Below are 15,772 nucleotides of genomic sequence, written 5' to 3' on the forward strand. Positions count from 1 at the left end.
TTCATTCATCAAACATTTATCAAGCATCTACTTTGTTCTGGACACTGAGCCAGGTGCTAGAGAAAGGACAACGAGCAAAAATGGCAAGAGCCTGGCCTTTCTCATGAGCCTAATGGCCTCGTGGTTCTCCTGGGCACATAATCTCATGCCACAAAACCACTTCTAGTTTTTCCCATTTTCAACTGGTTGGAAGTCCCATTTGCTGGAGTTTTATCATATGTCTCACATTTGTCCTCCGAGTCCAATTCCACTTCTACCGCCTGACCCAGGGCTCATCCAGCCTACTGTAAACCTCCTCACTTGGGCAACGCTTCCTGCCCAGTATATATATAATATACACACCACTGTCAAATATAAAATTCCTTGAATAAAATCCCTGTAATCAGTTAATCTCCATCCCACTTCAGGCATCCTGACCCTGAGCCTGCTTTTTGTCCTATAGCAGACTCCCAAGTCTCGTGATCAACAACTTCCAGCTGAAGCCCAAAATGAGAAAAGGCTTTCCAAAAAACAAACAAACAAAAAAACCTGCTGATAACACATAAGGGAAAGCAAGAAGGTGACAGAGAAAGAGAGGAGATCATGTTCAGGGCCCATGGAGAACCCATGGTCTCCACGACACCAGTGGGATTAGAAAAGGGCTCAAGTACCAGATGTGCAGCTGGCCTAAGGCCTTGCTGTAGGGCCCTGGGAGAGCCATGGCTTGTATGGCTCATTTGTACCTTGTTAGATCATACATTCCAGCAAGGTGAGGAGCACATCTGACTTTTCACCATTATACCCCCAGCCATGTACACAATGCCTCATATAATAAGTATTTGTAGAATCAATGCAGACTCTTTCTAGCCCTGAGAGTTCTGCGATCTCCTCCAGTCCAATACTTGAATTACTGTAGAACAGGATGGCCTCTATCTGCCTAAACTCGTGGGAATTCTCTATAAGTTAGCATAAGGCCCACCTCAGGTAGCAAGTAATTCATCACCACCTTCCACTGCCCCAGTGGTATCTGTTACAAAGATAAGCTGACCCCTTAGGGTCTTCCTTAGGGAAGAGAGTGCAGATTTTGGAAATCAGTCCTTAGTCACAGACTATAAATTCTAGCCCCAACTAACAACAAAAAAAACCAAAGACCCTTGAAGTATCAAGTTCAGATTTACCCAGAACAAAACAAGGGTCCAAAAGTCTTTCAACATGAAAGGATGCTTATCTTTCTGGAAAAATGACATTGAGAAGTCCAAGTAGATAGTCTGGTCCTGCCCATGTCACATCACCCCCTGAATACTAGCATCAGTCTTCAAAGAAGGGATTTATGAACAGGAGTGGTGGCAGGATTTGGTGGCTCCTGAGGTTCTTCTGACCCTAGGATGTTACAAACATTATCAATGATAACAGAAAAACTTATGAAGGAAGCTGGGAGTAGAATTTCTTTGACCCTAACTCTTGGAATTAGGTTTCTTCAAAACTCAACTTGAAACTCACCTTTAAGAAACTGACTATGATGAATGCCTTATCTTTTCTCTAATGCTCAGTACAGTGTTAATTTGCAATTAATGATATTCAATTCAATAAACATCTATTAAATGCAAAATATATTTAAGCTCTGTAAGCACCAAACCTTAAACATGCAGATGCAGAGAACATGATCTCTAACCCCAGGGAGCTTAGAGATGTATGGGAAAGACAGACATACAATATTACGCAAGGTCCTTTGGGTAACAGGGATCAAATGAGTGCTCTAGTACCAAAAGAGGAGAGAACCATTAACAGTTTTTGCAATAATCTGAAATCTTTACATGTGTGAATGGTTTGCTTAGCTGAGGACTGGTCTTCCTTCCACATTCATTTCAGGTCATCTGATACAGAACTATGCCCACAAAAGGCATTCAAAAAAAAACTATCTTTTTTTGCAGGGAGACAGAGTCACACTCTCATTGTCTAGGCTGGAGTGCAGTGGCATGATCTCGGCTCACTGCAGCCTTGACTTCTTGGGTTCAAGAGATCCTCCCACATCAGCCTCCTGAGTAGCTTGGACTACAGGCACATGCCACCATGCCTGGCTAATTTTTCATATTTTTAGTAGAGATGGGGTTTCGCCGTGCTGCCCAGGCTGGTCTTGAACTCCTGGGCTCAAGGGATCCATCTGCCTCGGCCTCCCAAAGTGCTGGGATTACAGGTGCGAGCTACCACACCTGGGCTCAAACTTTCTAAACAGTGTAAATCCATGCTTCATCTTAGTCTTATGCAAATAATAACCCAAGAACCTTTTTTGCTTCACATGTGAGAAAAACAATATAGAAAATGTTAATGAGCAAAAGCCCATCCAGAATAACTTTGGTTTTTTTTGTGGTTTTTTTGTTTGTTTTTGTTTTTGCTTTTGTTTTGAGACGCAGTCTCACTCTGTCGCCCAGGCTGGAGTGCAGTGGCGTGATCTCGGCTCACTGCAACCTCCGCCTCCCTGGTTCAAGCAATTCTCCTGCCTCAGCCTCCCAAGTAGCTGGGATTACAGGCATGTACTGCCACACCCGGCTAATTTTTATATTTTTAGTAGAGACAGGGTTTCACCATGTTGGCCAGGCTGGTCTCGAATTCCTGGACTCAGGTGATTCGCCCACCTTGGCCTCCCAAAGTGCTGGGATTATAGGTGTGAGCCACCGAGCCCGGCCCAGAATAACTTTAGATCCCATACACCCCTACGGGAGAAAATGGTACATAATGACATTGTATGTCTCATATTTCCCCTTGGTGATGACTGGCTTGGATGGCCCATCTATATTCTGCTTCTTAAGGAAAACACTAACAGTGCTACTCATTGCATAATTCAAAGAAGAGAAGGGAAGCATGAAGGGAGAACACAATATGTCTAATTGTTCTGATTGGTACAAGAATAAACACAAGGTCCATGGATGAGATAAGTACAGTCAAAAGAGAAAACTGCCAGTGTGATTTAGTGCTACTAGCAGAAGTAGAAAAAAAAAAAAAAAAAAAAAACAAGAAAAATAGCCAAAGAAAAGAGTCTGCTATAAGACAGAAAGTGGGCACAGGGTCAGGATGCCTGGAGTGGGATAGAGATTTACAGAGAAGCAAGGCATTTTTTTCCCCCAGCAATACAAGCTAATTTAAGGGAAATAGGAATAATTTTAACAGCAAAATGAGAAGTGAAAATAAGTCCTCTTCAACAAACCAGACAAAAGAACTAGTCTTTTGATGGCAGAGATGAAGAGACTTGTATGAGGGCTGTGCTTTCGAAAGTATAAAATAGCAGCAAATTCTATTTATTTGTTTGTTTATTTGAGACAGAGGCTGGCTCTGTTGCCCAGGCTGGAGTGCAATGGCATGATCTCGGCTCACTGCAACCTCTGTCTCCCAGGTTCAAGCGATTCTCCTGCGCCAGCCTCCCCAAGTAGCTGGGATTACAGGCACCTGCCACCACGCCTGGTTAATTTTTTTGTATTTTTAGTAGAGATGAGGTTTCATCATGTTGGCCAGGCTGGTCTTGAACTCCTGAACTCAGGTGATCTGCCTGCCTCGGCCTCCCAAAGTGCTGGAATTACAGGCGTGAGCCACAGCGCCTGGCCTCAGTTTATTTACTGAGAACCTAAAATGGCTCTCAAACCTGGCTGCACACTTAGAATCACCTGGGAATTTTAAAAAAAAATGCCAATGGCTGGGCTAGACTTCTAAAATGTGCAGGACAGGAGATGAATCCAGGGGAGAAAAGAAAACCATCATGTCCTTGTGGGGCTCCCAAGCTCAGAGTCTAGTGGGAGAGGCAGACACAGTGAATCAGAATGGCACAGAAACACTGGCAGAAGTGCTAGAATGGATTTACAAACAAGTGGGACCAAGACAAGCTGGGCAGCCTGGAAGCAGAGAACAAGGACAAGAACTGAGGCAATGAGAATGGTCAAGGGCAGACTTGCTGAGCGTAAAGGAAGAGAAGAGGGAGAGAGGAAAGCTGTGCTCATGGAAGAGAATATACAGGAATTAGAGCTTGGAACAAACCCTGCCCCTCCAACATCTACTGAACAGTGATATGAGGTGTGAGGCAAGACAGCACCCACTGAGTGACAGGGGCAGAAAGGAGGGGCAGGTGATCAACCGCTTGTGAGGCCCGACTGCCATCAGGGCGGAAGTGGATGTCCCCAAGGAAGACGGTAGAAGTTGAGTGAAGGCAGGATGGTGAGGCAGTAGCTGACCACTGAGGAGAGAGGTAACGTGGCCCAAGTACTACAATTTGTTTCCAAATCTGGGGCGCTATTAATAAATTACACCAGGACCCCAGGCATAACTCCAGACGACAGTCACCTTCATGGAGTTTTAGACTCTAATACAAATGAGAAAGAGCATTGTAGGCAGGTGAGGGGATGAACTCTGAATGAGGTGGGAGGTAGAAATGAGAAAAGGAGCAGCATGTAGATGACGCTTCCAGAAAGCTGCTGTTTAGACATAAGCTCTATTGGCATGAACTCAGGGGAAAGTAGACCTAAACCCTTAGCAAGAATATGGAAAGAAATCATATTTCTGACATATCATTTTTACTCTTTCAAACTCAAGTCCTTAAAATGGCCAAAATGGTTTCTCTATGCCTCAACACCAGGGAGATATTAGGGTAACATATACTTTTCCCTATAAAATGCAAATGATGTTTTTCCTTTTAAGGAATGAATGAATTGAGCATTAGGCGTTGTGTAGTCCAGCCTCTGCGTTCTGCTACATCTCAGGTTATCTACTCCCTCCTAGCATACTGCTTATAACAGGGAACTCACTTTGTCACAAGGGAGCCATTCCTTATTTTGCCTGACATGTTCAAGTGGAACTCAGAGAGAGGTGGAACAGAGCAAGCATGGGCCATGTGACACTTAAGCTGTTCCCTAGTGACGAAAGCTCCCTGGATCTCGGTTTCCTGACACATGTGAAAATCTTTGCAAAGTATAAAGAGTGACACAAGAGCTGGTTGTTGTTATTGTCATCATCGTGATTATATGGCCTGGTCCGAATCCCTGAGGGACAATGTGACCAGGAGAGCTGCTTAATTACACTCATGTGCATTTGTCATGCGACCCAGCGCCATCCTCGAGTGCCAAGGAGCCACTCCTAGTCCCTGCTGCCTCAGGTGAAACCCCCTGGCAGCAGCTCACACACTTGGAGGGGGTCCAAGGGGAGGGATGCCAAGGCCCCGGGGTGTGTCTGAGGAAGGAGGCCTTGCCCAGACTTCAGTATCGGGCCTCAGTCTGTTCAATCTTGCCAGCATGGCCCCGTGTAACCTGGCCGAAGTGCTCCACACAGCTGAGAGCGACTCCCTGACATACAACCTGTGGGCACAGAGAGGGCACGTGAGACCTGGTGTGCCTACCTCTAGTCTAGGCACTTCAAATCTGTAGAAAAGACAAACTTGCCACCTAGCTTGTACATTGGTTAACAGAATGAGCTACAATCTCATCTTGGGCTGTTTTGTCAAGAGTACAAAGCCATGTACTAGATGAGTGGCTCTCACACCTGTCTGCACATTTAGAATCACCTGGGAATTTAAAAGAAAATGCCGATGTCTGGGCCAGACTCCATACCCATTAAATCACAATTTGGGGGTGGGGAATGGGCACAGGAAATCAGTGCTTTTACAATGTCCCTAGGTTTTTCCAGTGTGTAGGCTGAGAATCAGTGATTTAAGAGGAACGCTTCTCAAGCTTTAATGTGCATGCTTCTCACTTAGGGATTTTGTGAAAATGCCAATTCAAATTCAGTAGGTCTGGGGCAAGTCTGAGATTCTACACTTCTAAGAGGTTCCCAGGTGATGCCAATGCCGCTACTCCGTGGACCATACTTTGAGTCACAAGGTTCCTGAAAACGATAAGCTCCTTGAAAATGAGGATTCTTATCTTCACACCTCTGTCTCCATCTAATTCCTGCCGTAGTGCCCGGAACATGTCAATTCTGAATAAATGTTGACTGAATAGATGAATGACCCAATCTTCCTCCAGACTGTTGTTCCACTTCTCTCCACTTTCAAACATCAGAAGTGAGGTCAAACTGAACAAGGGGGAAGCAGGTATAGAATTCCTACACAAAGGAAGCTTCATCTATATGATCAGGCTTTACCTGCTGATCTGTTCTGAATTTATTATTTATTCAAAATTGTGGCAAAAACTTTAAAATTACCCCAAAAAGGAAGGCTACATTTTCTCAGGCATTGTAAGTGTCTTCTTTGAGTTCAAATGGGAACATGCAGCTTAGAAACAGACATTTCAAACCAAAAACTGAAAACATAAAAATGGGTACACCACTTGATGCAAACGAAAAAGAAATGTATTCTGCTCAGTCACTTCTGGTGGTCAGCTGCCCCCAGGCTCCCCAGTCCCAATTTCCCAGAAGTTATCCAGCATGGCTGTTCTTCATGACCTTCCCTGATATCATTTGAGGAGAAAATGAGTGTTGGACAATTTGGGTGAGGCTGTTAAGTGAGCCTCAGCATGCCCCCAGAGGGCCTCACACCCTCAGCATCCACCAGCAGTATGGAAACAGGCATTTAATATTTGCTAATGAACGCCTTCTGCATAGAGCTTAGGGGTGGGGGCTATTGAGCGAAAGTTCCATGGAAGCCGGGGCCCAGAAGCACTCATCTCTGCCTCTGCTTGTTAACACCTCCCCAAGAGATGCAATTATTCTGCATGGCTGGGATTTCTCTCAGAATTTTCTACATCCCCATAAATCAGTTACTAAAGGAGGCTCAGCCACATATCATGGTTTATAAGGTAAGAAGAAAAAACGAGGACTACACTGACTACTATTCAGTGTCAGAAGCAATGCCTGGCAGGCCAAAAGTAAAGAAAGAAGCCTGAGGAGACAGTCCTAGGGACGAGCTTACTCAAGAAAACACTACATTCCAAATGCCAACATCACAGGATAACTAAGGCTTAGGCAGTCATTCACTTTTTTTTTTTTTTTTTAGACGGGGCCTCACTCTGTTGCCCAGGCTGGAGTGCAGTGGCATTCCAAAGTAGAGCCATTGTTGAACGTCTTTATACAGAAGGATAAATACATCATGGCTCACTGCAGCCTTGACCTCTCAGGCTCAAGCAATCCTTCCACTCAGTCTCTCGAGCAGCCAAGACTACAGGCATACTCCATCATGCATGGCTAATTTTTTAATTTTTTGTAGAGTCAGGGTCTTGCCATGTTACCCAGGCTAGTCTCAAATTCCTAAACTCAAGTGATCTGCCCGCCTCGGCCCTCCAAAGTGCTGGGATTACAGGTGTGAGCCACCACGCCTGACTGGCAGTCACTCACTCTTTTGTAATACAACGAAGTCATGACCCAGAGTGGAACTACTTACAAAAAATCCTGGCTTCTTAGCAGGCAACAATTTACAGGCTTTGCTATACTAACTTTTGCTTTTTTCTTTTTACATACTATATAACTAGCAACAAGAAACTGGGTGGATAACACACAAAAAAACAGTAAACACATTTCCTCTTGGGGATGCCAATATTAACTGAAGCAGGTATCAATGCCTGAAAACTGTACTCAGAAACACCCCTATGTCTTCTTCAAGCCACCTCACATTTTCCTGCTTCTTCACAGATCTAGTCATTTGCGATTATATTATCTCAACAGTTGCTGAGCAACTGTGCATGCTGTTGTTCAAAGACTGGATTTTGTTGTCTTCCCTGAAAGAGTGTTGAGTTCTGCTATGGTAGGCAGGTTACTTGCAGGTCAGCTTGACTGGTCAAGGCTTGGGTTTTTAGGCTTTGTTACAATGGGTCTAGGGTAGTGCTGTTCCTGTGGCTGGCTTTTCTGGGTTCTCAACTGGATGCCAGAAGTTCTCAACACGAGGATAGCACCTCGTGTTTTTCTACTCTGCTTAGCTAGAACTCTAACATCTCCCATTACTGGTGATCTCTGGGATATCCACTCAGCTCACAGCCCCTCCAAGTTCTTATTTTCTGCCAGGCCTCGTAGAGTCTTGCCCTACTGATGCCTGGCTTAGTATTTGGCCAAATCATCTAGATCTATACATTTCTGACACTCTTTCCTTGTGTAGCTCATTCTTTTGCAGTTCCCTGCCCTGAAAATTTGAGCCACCCCAGCAGTCCTGAATTACAGCTTGTTTCCTCTATCCAATAAATGAGTCTGCTACTCTTTGTTTGGGCTCCACTGCCCTGTGCTGCAATTTAGAAAGTGCCTCTAGGCAAAAAGCCAGGGTTGATGTAAAACTCACTTTTATGCTTCCCTTGTCTCCAGGATCACATTCTTGTGATATGTATTGTCCAATGCCTAAAAACAGCCACTTTGTATGTTTTGGCCAATGTTAGAGTTGTCTATGACAGGAAGGCAAGTCTAATTACCCTTTACTCTATAATAGCCGCAACCCCAAGTTATATATTCCCTCAAAAAGATTGTTTCTTCATTTAGACTGGACTTTTTCATTCTAGATATAATAGAACTTTCAGCTCTATCTTTAAAAGTCTGAGCTATTTCAAGGTCTAATTCCCAAAAGAAGTCCTAGAGAAAGAATGTGTGAAATGAAGACACATACAAGGGTTTTTAATTATCCTGGAGTTTCCTTTGCCAGTCATATGTTCCTTTCTCTAACAAGGAAGGTGAAGTATTCCCTAAAGTAGAGCCATTGTTGAACATCTTTATACAGAAGGATAAATACATGCAGTAAGTTAGTGCCACCTAGCTTTTTTCAGATAATGGCGCACACATAAAATAGTAGTTATTTTTATGACATACTGCTGGAGGCCAAAGGTTGTTGAAGGCCATCAGCCCAGAGGGGTGATTCCGGCCAGCTAAGGCCCTTCCCATCCACCCTGGAGAGCTGAAGAAATCACCACCCTACCCTCACAGCACATAGGTGAGGAAATGCTACAGAAGTAACCTTTGAGTTCAGATGTCATTAAGAAATGAGGGGAAAAAACAAAAACAAAAACAAAAAAACCTTAAACCAAATCTCAGTCCCTAGTAAGAGAACAGGACTTCCACAGGTGTTCAGTGTCACGAAGGCAGGAATCAGGAAGGCCCATGGGGATTTTCATAGAAGACAACCAAGGGCAGAAGCCCTAAAGGCCTCTGTGTGCTCAGCCTGTTTTCCTCTTAGAAAAAGATGTTTCTAGGGCTAGGCGCAGTGGCTCACGTCTGTAATCTAAGCACTTTGGGAGGCCAAGGTGGGTGGATCACAAGGTCAGGAGTTCATGACCAGCCTGACCAACATGGTGAATCCCCGTCTCTACTAAAAATACAAAAATTAGCCGGGCGTGGTGGCACACACATGTAATCCCAGCTACTCAGAAGGCTGAGGTAGGAGAATCGCTTGAACCCAGGAGGTGGAGGTTGCAGTGAGCCGAGATTTTGCCACTGTACTCCAGCCTGGGTGACAGACTGCGAGACTCTGTCTCAAAAAAAAAAAAAAAAAAAAAAAAACAGTTTCTATCTGGAGCCTCTTCAGAGAACAGCACCCAACAGATGCTGCCATGCTGGCCCAACTCCAGGGTGACCATTCATATTTGGTACTTCCTAGAGTTGTGGAACATGGCTATATAGTTTGTATACAAAAAAATACCAGAATTATTTATTGATTTCATAATTTCCTTTGCAACATATGCAATCTAAAGTCTTCTAAAAAATGTTTATGCTTTAGCCTTTTTTCTAATTGTGGAATGAAAGAATTTCTACTCCCATAAGTCCACTTCAAGGGTCAGTAATTGGCCGGGTGCAGTGGTTCACGCCTGTAATCCCAGCACTTTGGGAGGCTGAGGTGAGCGGATCACTTGAGTCTAGGAGTTTGAGACCAACCTGGACAACATGGCAAAACCCCATCTCTACAAAAAATTAGCCAGATGTGGTGGTATGCCTGTAGTCCCACCTACTTGGGAAGCTGAGGTAGGAGGATCACCTGAGCCCAGAAGGTCAAGGCTGCAGTGAGCTGCGATCACACCACCACACTCCAGCCTGGGTGACAAGAGTGAGACCCTGTCTTAAAAAACGAACAAAAAAAAAAAAAATCGGGCAGGAGCGGTGACTCACGCCTGTAATCCCAGCACTTTGGGAGGCCGAGGAGGGCAGATCACCTGAGGTCAGGAGTTTGAGACCAGCCTGGCCAACATGGCAAAACCCCATCCCTACTAAAAATACAAAAATTATCTGGATGTGGTAGCGGGCACCTGTAATCCCAGCTACTCGGGAGGCCGAGGCAGGAGAATTGCTTGAACCCAGGAGGCGGAGATTGCAGTAAGCCAAGATCGTGCCACTGCACTCCAGCCTGGGCAACAGAGCCAGACTCTGTCTCAAAACAAAACAAAACGAAACAAAACAAAAACCAAAAAACAGTAATCATGTGAAAAGGAGATCCTTATATAGACAGGACCTTCCCAATGTCCTCGTAAGATGGCTTTAAGTATTCCAAGAGACGTTAACTATATATAAGGGCATGTGAACAAGTCATACACAAAATCCAAATTATTAAGCTAGCACTTTTACATTTTTTTCCTGTCCATTTAAATATAATCAAGTATGTGGTTGGGTGCAGTGGCTCACACCTGAAATCCCAACACCTTGGGAGGCCAAGGTGGGCAGATCACTTGAGCTCAGGAGTTTGAGACTAGCCTGGCCAACATAAACCCCAGCTCCACTAAAAATACAAAAATTAGCCGGGTGTGGTGGCGCATGCCTATAATCCCAGCTATTTGAAAAGCTGAGGCATGAGAATCACTTGAACCCAGGAGGCAGAAGTTGCAGTGAGCCGAGATGGTGCCACTGTACTCCAGCCTGGGCGACAGAGTGAGACTTTGTCTCAAAAAAAATAAATAAATACAATTAAAAAAATATAAATAGATATAATCAAGAATGTAAACTTATGTAACAACATTTTCACAGAAACTTCTCATTTTGTGGGAAAGTTGCTAGGGACCTTGCTAGGTCATTTACATTGAGATGACCGCTTAATCGGAAATCTTAAAAGCTGTTTCTAATGGCACCTTCAGCTCATCCATAGCACATTGCTGAATATATAGTCTACTCCTCCAGGATGAGCATCCTATAGCTGAGTTTTTACCTTCATTTATGGTTTAGAGAACTGCATTGACTCTGCATCCAAATACATGCTTTTCTTCCATTAAAAGGATGGTAGCTATGAGAGAAAATCATTTTGCTTCACAGGTAGACAGTAGCGTTCATAAAGCATTTTTTATTATTATGTTTTAAGAGATTTTCTTAGCTCCTGCACCAATTCTAAGAGATACAAAGAAAGCTTTAAAAAAGGAGAAGGTGGTATTCTTCATTCCACAGATAAGGACTGGGAAGGAACAGGAGGTGAAGGGCATAGACATGATCATTTTGAAGGTCAAGAACATTGAAGCCAGCTGCAGCGACTATTAGTAAATTCCTATCTTCCACTTCCATTCTTCACCAGACAAATCCACACTTCTTTTAAGAAATTCTTCTACTAGGAAAACATATTTCTTAGCCTGAAAACTTGTTTGGTGGCTTTTAATCTATACTTAGCTGATTTAGCTTCTAGGCCTGTGCAGCGAGTAAAAAATACAATTCCAAAGTCAAATCCAGGCCCTCGGGCTGCTCAGCTGAGTCCAGAACAGACCACTGGAGTATGGCTCTGTCTGTCTGCCACCACAGGGGAGAAAGGGCACGGGGCAAGGAAAGGCTCCAATGTGAAAGATCCATGAATTACAAGAGGTATTCCCAGGAAGACTCAGAATGAAACCAAGGTCCTTCAAATCCACGCAATTACGTAGCAGGCAATTACTTACTGAACACTGGGGCTTAGATGGCCTTGTAGGAAAAATAGACTAGCCAATAACATTCTCTCAAGAGTGTCTTTGCAGAGCAAAAGTTTTTAATTTTGCTGAAGTTCAATTTGGCAAGTTTTTTCTTTTATGGATTGTGTTTTTGGTATCATGTCTAACAACTCTTTTCTCCAGTGTTTCATACATAACTTTTGATGTTTTATGTTTTACATGTAGATCTATGGTCCATTTTGAGTTAAATTTGTATAATAGGTTCAGGTTGGTTTTTTTTTTTTTTTTCTGCCTATGGGTGTCCAATTGTGCCAATACCATTTCTTTTCTTTCTTTTTTTTTTTTTTTTTTTGAGACGGAATCTTGCTCTGTTGCCCAGGCTGGAGTGCAGTGGCGCGATCTTGGCTCACTGCAAGCTCCGCCTTCTGGGTTCACGCCATTCTCCTGCCTCAGCCTTCCTAGTAGCTGGGACTACAGGTGCCCGCCACCACACCTGGCTAATTTTTTTTTTTTTTTTTTTTTGTATTTTTAGTGGAGACGGGGTTTCACCATGTTAGCCAGGATGGTCTCGATCTCCTGACCTCGTGATCCGCCCGTCTTGGCTTCCCAAAGTGCTGGGATTACAGGCGTGAGCCACCATGCCCGGTCGCCAACACCATTTCTTGAAAAGATTATCCTCTCTTAAACTGTCTTTGTATCTTTGTTGAAAATTAATCGGCTGGATTTTTTTATGAGTCTATTTCCAGATATTCTATTTCAAGGGCCAGCAAACTACAGCCCATGGGCCAGGTCTAGCCTGCCACCTATTTCTCTATGGTCCACAAACTAAGAATAGTTTTTACATTTTTGAATGGTTTTTAAAAATCAAAAGAAGAAGAATATTTCAAGAAATGTGAAAATTATATGACATTCAAATCTAAGTATCCATAAATAAAGTTTCATTGGAACTCTGCTACACCCATTCATTTACCTCTATGGCTGCTTTTGCTCTAAAATGGCAGAGTTGAGTAATTGTGACACAGACTGCATGACCCACAAAGCCTGAAATATTTACTCCCTGGCCCTCTGCAGAAGTTTGCCAAACCCTGTTCTAGGATATGAGGATCCTTATACGCATCCATGCAGAACCTCAGGGACTCTCTCAATGCCACTATAAAAAAAATACTGTAAAGACAGAAGCTTTAAATAAAAACACTGAAAGCCCTGAGGAAGGCAGAAAAAGAATGCATTTAATAGTTGGCTACCATTTCCAGCTAGAAATAAAATATAAAAACCTTAATCAAAACTATTTTTAAAAGGACACATTTTACTGCACTATACAGTTAACTATAAAATGAGGAAATTTTAAGCCTAAAAGGCACTTATTTTAATGACTTTTTTTCTTAAAGATCTCCATGAGTCATAAACTAAGAAAAAATATTTGTAATATGAAGATGACAGGTTAATGTCATGAATATAAGGTATTTTTATAAAAATCAATTGGAAATGATGCATAAAATGTTCAAGCTCGGTAATCATTTTTTAAAATGCAGAATTAGCAGAGCCCAAATCACATTAGCAGAGATTAAAAAGAATGATAATATCCAGGGATGACAAGAATAGGGAAATATATTTGCATGCACTCCTGTGAGGAGACTAAATTGGCACAATCTTTCAGGATGTATCCTCAATATGCCCTCAAAATGCATCAATACAGTATTACACTGAGCAATTTATCATCAGGAAATAGTAACTGCTAACATTTATGTAGCAGCTATTAGGACCCAGGCTTTCTAAATGCTTTACCTACTTCATCTCATTTAATCTTCACAACACCAGGATGTAGGTACTATTATTACTCTCATTTCACAGATGTGAAAACTGATGCACACAGAGATGAGTAACCTGCCAAGGTATCACAGCTAGAAGGAAGTGGCAGAAATGCACACAAAGACTGTTGAACAGGGTGACGACTATGTGCAACATGGTCTAACACAAAGAAAAACTGGAAACAAGCTAAGCATAAAAGAGGATTGTCGAGGGCCAGGCCGAGTGGCTCACGCCTGTAATCCCAGCACTTTGGGAGGCCAAGGCAGGCGGATCACTTGAGGTCAGGAGTTCAAGACCAGCCTGGCCAACATGGCGAAACCCCATCTCTACTAAAAATACAAAAATTAGCTGGGTGTGGTGGCACAGGCCTGTAGTCCCAGCTCATCAGTAGGCTGAGGCACGAGAATCGCTTGAACCCAGGAGGCAGAGGTGGCAGTGAGCCGAGATCATGCCACTGCACTCAAGCCTGGGCAAAAGAGTGACACTCTGACTCAAAAAAAAAAAAAAAAAAAAAAAAAGAGGATTTTGGTACTCTCTCCATACATTAGGATTCAGGATGCTAAGGAATCATTTACCCATGCTGCCAAGGATAATCATGATGTATTTTGGACAAAGAGGGTTATTATAAAATAGTGTATGTAATATGATCCTATTTTTATTTTAAACTGTAATTATGTGCACATATGGAAAAAGTCTGAAAGAATAATTGCGAAAATATTAAGAGGTATGTGAAGGTGGTAAGGTCACCGGTAATTTTGATTTTTCTTTGTATTTATTTGTCTGTTTTTCTCATTTTTTTTCCAAGAGTAAGTGTTATTTATACAATTTTAAAGTATGACTTAAAAGTGTATCCCCGCCAGGCGTGGTGGCTGATGCCTGTAATCCCAGCACTTTGGGAGGCCCAGGCGGGCGGATCACCCGAGGTCAGGAGTTCAAGACCAGCCTGGCCAACATGGTGAAACCCCGTCTCTACAAAAATACAAAAATTAGCCAGGCATGATGGCAGTTGCCTGTAATCCCAGCTACTCGGAGGCTGAGGCGGGAGAATCACTTGAACCCGGCAGGCGGAGGTTGCAGTGAGCCAAGATCACGCCATTGCACTCCAGCCTGGGTGACAGAGCGAGACTCCATCTCAAAAAACAAACAAACAAAAAAGTATATCCCATGCCACTTTCATCTCAGAAACCGTGTATTTTAATAAAATGCAAATATGAATGCAAAGCACTCTGAGATACTGAACAAGACAGGTTACACAACTGTAATACATTACTTTCATCCTAAGAAAAGCTAAAATAAATAATGAAAAGGAACTTCAGGGGAAGTACTGACCTTAATTTCAGGACAGTTCAATATACCAGGAAAGAACATTCAGTTACCAGGCATTTGTCTTTTCATCTTCTTCTAATAACTTATCATAGCAATAACTATGATTTAACCTTTAAAGAAAATATTGTGTGTGTAAAGACAGAGTCTCTCGCTATGTTGCCCAAGCTGGTCTCAAACTCCTTGGCTCAAGCAATCCTTCTACCTCAGCCTCCCCAAAGTGTTGGGATTACAGGTGTGAGCCACTACACCCAGCCCTGTGATTTAACCTTTATGTTTCCAAAGCACTTTTGAATACAACATGTCATTTAAGCCTCAGAACACCCCTAACAGAGTAATACAAATAGAAAGGGTGGAGATAGAAACAGAAAAAAAAGGGGAGTTTCTCTAATTCCTTAAGATACCTACAGATTTTTTTTTTCTGTGTGTTGCAGAGGGGAAAAAAAAGTATTCCAAGATGGGGGATTACTGATGTCCTGCCACTTTAGCACAACATTCTGCAGAGATATGACAATTAGGTTGAACAAACACAGGATCTCTTTAGACAGTTTTATATAATTTGTGTAGGCATATGCACCTGGGAATTTACATCAGCTGCAAGCTCATCTGTCCATGATACAAAGGAAAAATCTATAATAACGACCATCAAAATGTTGGGGTGGCCTTTCAACAACTGTCTACTGGTGAACTAAAACGATATTTTCTCCCACCCCAAGCCCTATGTTTACCATCCTCATGTAATTTAAAACTATGTCTGTGTGATGGTAATGATTCTTCTCACTGGTCCCAGTGTCCTGGCTACTTATAAAAGGAAGACAAAACAGCAACAAATTATACTCCTTTGGGTTTTAAATGCTCTGAGGAGGAGATATATTGTGACTTTTGTCTAG

At 42.8% G+C, this 15,772-nt stretch overlaps 1 protein-coding gene across 32 annotated transcripts in view; it reads right to left on the bottom strand.

Moving 5' to 3' along the window:
• The window catches only part of SH3KBP1 (SH3 domain containing kinase binding protein 1), a 353,624-nt gene that overhangs the window by 75,014 nt on the left and 262,838 nt on the right, over positions 1–15,772 (bottom strand). The window lies entirely within an intron of this gene.

Source organism: Homo sapiens, chromosome X (assembly GCF_000001405.40).
Source record: "Homo sapiens chromosome X, GRCh38.p14 Primary Assembly".
Lineage (NCBI taxonomy): Eukaryota > Metazoa > Chordata > Mammalia > Primates > Hominidae > Homo > Homo sapiens.